We start from the raw sequence: 4,240 nt of genomic DNA, 5'->3' as shown, positions 1-4,240 counted from the left end.
GTTGGCATTCCATCCTGTGATCTCTAAGCCTCCTACGTGACTTTTCATTTGCACACATTAAGGATCACTCTTTGTGCTACAAAATTCAATGGGTTTTGACAAATGCAGTGTCATGTATCATCTATGCTATTCGTACCACCACTATCAGGCAGAATGGCTTTACTACCCTAAAAAAAAATCCCTGTGCTTCACCTATTCAACCTCCTCCCCATTAGGTATCTTTTCTATGCTTGCTTCCTTTTAATTTTCTCTGTTTCTTGATTTTAAAAATTAGCATATATCATTTGCTTACAAATTTAAGTCATTAAACTTTTTAAATAAGAACTGTTTCTTTAAATTTACTTCATTAGGGAAGTTGCCGGAGTGAAACAGCATACTTAGAGAGAGTATACACTGTCTTTAAAACAAAAGGAATATGGCAGTACCTCAACATTAAAAGTTCTAAATTTAAAACATTGCCTCTGGGTAACCAAAACACCATTCTTTAAACACTGAAAATTTTAGCGAAACAAATAGATGACATTTAAAGTTATGGTATAACTATAAAAGACATATCTCTATGTCTCTTTATAAGATTAAGATTGGCTCAAGTGGCTAATAAGTGGCTAGAAGATTAAGAATAGCCACAGGCTCACTCAAACATCTTACAAGTCCTACACTATGTGTTGCCGAGCAAGATGATGCAACCTGGCCTGGGGATTTCCAGCCCTGGCCAGGAGATTACCAGGTCTCTATGACAATGGTCTCTATGACAAAAACCCTGGCTACTCTAGACACAAGGCCACCTTAGCACAGATGCAACTTCATGAACCTTAAAACAAAGCTTTCCCTTACAAGATGGCTTAAACTTTCTTTATGAAAAAAATAAAAAATAAAAACAAAACAAAACAAAAAAACACATGGCAACTAACCCAGACTGAATAGAAGTACACAAAAGAGGAAGAATCCCTCAAACTCTGAAAATGATATTGTAATGAAAGCCCTGTCACTCAGGCGGTCATCCTTCCCCTAACTGCATCTGGCCAGGGCTGCCAGCCTCCTCCTGCTGTTCATCCTGTAGAAGCGCTGCCAGAATAAGCTTCTTGAACATCACACAATGCCCAAGACGTATTTGTGATGTGAATCTAACTGGAAGGGAGGAAGTGGGTCAACCAGAACCACCTGAGAGCCCCCAAACTTGACGACCATCTGAGAGCTGTGAACGCAACAAAGGTTTACATCAGATTATTTTCCTGTACACGGTCCACAAAATTTACATAGAGGTGGTCATTACTGTCTGCCAAATATCTAAGGCAGATTGTAATATCATCAATATTGCCTTTTGTTTCCAAATGCCATGCTGCTTTTGTTTTAAAAATAATTTTAAAAGAACATTACTATCATTTTTAATGAAACTTTTTGAAACACCTTTTTTCCCCTCCTCTGTGTCGAAAATTTAGCTTTTCTTTTATTCTAACTTTAGCAGCAATAATAATAATAATAAACCTTCATAATTGAGGTTAGTACATTAACTGAAAAACTCATATCATCTGAAAACCGATCCTGTGGACATTTAACTTTCAGATTCCTTTTTTCCAAGTAAAAATGTGAATAATATTGTATTATAGGGGATTAATGAAATAAAAGAACAAAAACTTTAAAATTTCAATACTATCCTTCTTATTGCAAGGTTTATGATGTCACAGCACCTTTTGACTCTTAAAGGAAAATGACTACTCTATCTTGTATTACAAGTACTTTTACAAAAGCATTTAATTACACAAACATTACTGAGAACGTAATGCTTGCAACATATTTCATCTGGGAGCTGGAGATGTGCAAAGGTCCTAAGAAATGGTCTCCACAAGGAAGGAACATTTTATTTAGTTGGACAAATCCAGATACAATTTTTTAAAGTTCTTGGATTTAAAAATTTTAGAAAGGATTAAGAGAGGAAGGGCTGAAAAGGAAGTACTGATAGCTTATCTTACTCTCCTAAGTTTCTCACTTCATAATTACTATTCAATCCAATATAGTTATCTGCATCCATTCTGTTCCACTGAAAGTGCTCTCTAAGGTTGCCAGTATTCTCACATGCACTGTTAAAGAAAAAATCATGCCTAAGCAAACAGATATTGATTTTATTCTAATACTATCGCCAGCCATAGGGGAGGGAGCACAAACCACATCTGGATACTTAGCTCAGCTAAAGTAAAGGGCAGAGAGTTTTGCTTTGCTTTGACAAGCTGGTGTTGAGAGACTGTGTGGCATCTGTATTTGGGTAATTGGCTTTATCCAAATGAACAGTGAACTTTCCCCTCTCTTCATGACTGGGGGTAGTTTTACAGCCTATAGCATGGTGCCCACGGAAATTAGGCTCCTACCTTTCTACAAAGACTAGAAGGTAGGAGCTTTCTCTTTCTAGAAAATTACATTTCAATTGAAACAACCCTAGGTCCTTGCGAAAGACAGTCTTGAGTTGTAAAGCTGGCAAGAGGATTTTTACAAGATTTACATCTCAAGGAGGCAGACAAATGCTTTAAAAATTACACCTTTTTTTTTTTAAAGGAAATTCTTTAAGAGAGGTCAGTGCCTAGAAGCCTATCTAAAGTTAATTCAAGCTGTGGAAACCATCTAGTTTCCCTTGGTGGGTGCTAAAGCAAATAATGATTTTCAGATCCCATCTTAATCTGAAATTTTCATTTTTTCTTTTTCATGGGCAACTCTTTTATGTATCAACCGTATATTAGGCACTAATAATTCAAAAAGAACAGAATCTTATTGGGATCTACTTCAAGGAACATTTTGGCCAAAATTCAGTAGATATTTCATTCTTCTTAGTAAGTCCTAAGTTAATTAGCAGGCTATATTTATAAAGCAATTCAGAACTCTTAGAGAAAACCATCACTCAAATAGTTTGTGATGTTATTAATCGCTCTAAACAAACAGCCTGTTTATTTTCTACTGAAACTAACAATAAATAATGATCAACTATTACCATAATGGGTTCTTACCATGTAGCTATTGAAGTTTCTCAACATCAAAGATTCAAACAGAATCAGAGACTCCCAACTATCTGTCCTGTTTTGTAAAGGAGTTGTTATAATGAAATTAATTTTCTGTCACTCTCCATCAACAAAATCTTGGTCATTCTCACTCTTTCAGGAATACCATTTATCTCTTTTATATTTGGGATAACCAAGTAATTACAACTTTTTCTTTTTGCATTTTATGAATACCATAGTTTGAGCTTCCTCTACTTTCTAGCAGATATATGTAAAATAATTTTTATGAGTAAAAATTCTGTTTACGTATTTCAGAATACAAAAAAATGAAGAACACTTTTCCCTATTTTGTTAGAATGTATATAAATTTTCTCATGGACTTGCTCACAACTTGCTATTCCATGCTCTTAAGAAGGAAGCAACGTTATGGCATGGTTATCCAGGGATACTTTATTCCAATTTTTTACACTTCCCTGATTTTCCTCAACTTTTGATCGCCTATAAAATATAGCTGCTCTCCAAGATTCTATTTCATCACTGACCATCTTCTCTCCCGGAGAGATAAGCTGGGCAATCTACTTTAGTTTTCTATTCACACCTTTGACTTCCCGCTGTGTGCTGATGATTTCTTGTTCTATGTCTGTGTTAGTTCGTTCTCATTATGACTGGGTAATTTATAAAGACTGGGTAATTTATAAAGAAAAGAGGTTTAATTGACTCACAGTTTTGCATGGCTGGGGAGGCCTCAGGAAACTCACAGTCATGGTGGAAGGCACCTCTTTACAGGGCGGCAGGAGAGAGAATGAGTGCCAGCAGGGGAAATGCCAGACACTTACAAAACATCAGATCTCATGAGAATTCACTCACTATTACCAGAAGAGCATGGGGAAAATGGCCTCCATGATTTAATTACCTCCCACAACACATGGGGATTATGGAAACTACAATTTAAGGTGAGATATGGGTGGGGACACAGCCAAACCATATCAATGTCTTACCCACATCTCTCACCTGAAGTTTATATCCTGTTTCCAACTGTCTAGAGGGCATCATTAGATATCTCACAAATATCTCAAGCCAAGTTATTTGCTTTTCCCTCAAACCCACTTCTCCTTCTCTATTCACAATGTTGTTTGTTTATTGCCCCCCTCCAATCACCTAAACAAGTAACCTGAGAGAAGGCCTATCCCTAATATTTGTGGGGCCCTATCCCTCATGTTCAGTTTCTGCTCACTTGCTCCCAAACATCTGGCCTT

General features: G+C 36.5%; 1 annotated feature.

Moving 5' to 3' along the window:
* Positions 602–781: an enhancer, noted in NCBI's record as "active region_26572". NCBI's record gives its function as "activates an Ori minimal core promoter by ATAC-STARR-seq in GM12878 lymphoblastoid cells {active_cell/tissue: GM12878}" and the evidence as "EXISTENCE:reporter gene assay evidence [ECO:0000049][PMID:35858748]".

The sequence above is a fragment of the Homo sapiens genome, chromosome 7, assembly GCF_000001405.40.
Source record: "Homo sapiens chromosome 7, GRCh38.p14 Primary Assembly".
Taxonomy (NCBI): domain Eukaryota; kingdom Metazoa; phylum Chordata; class Mammalia; order Primates; family Hominidae; genus Homo; species Homo sapiens.
The sequence above is the reverse complement of the archived record's forward strand: the minus strand, read 5'-3'. Positions and strand labels throughout refer to the sequence as shown.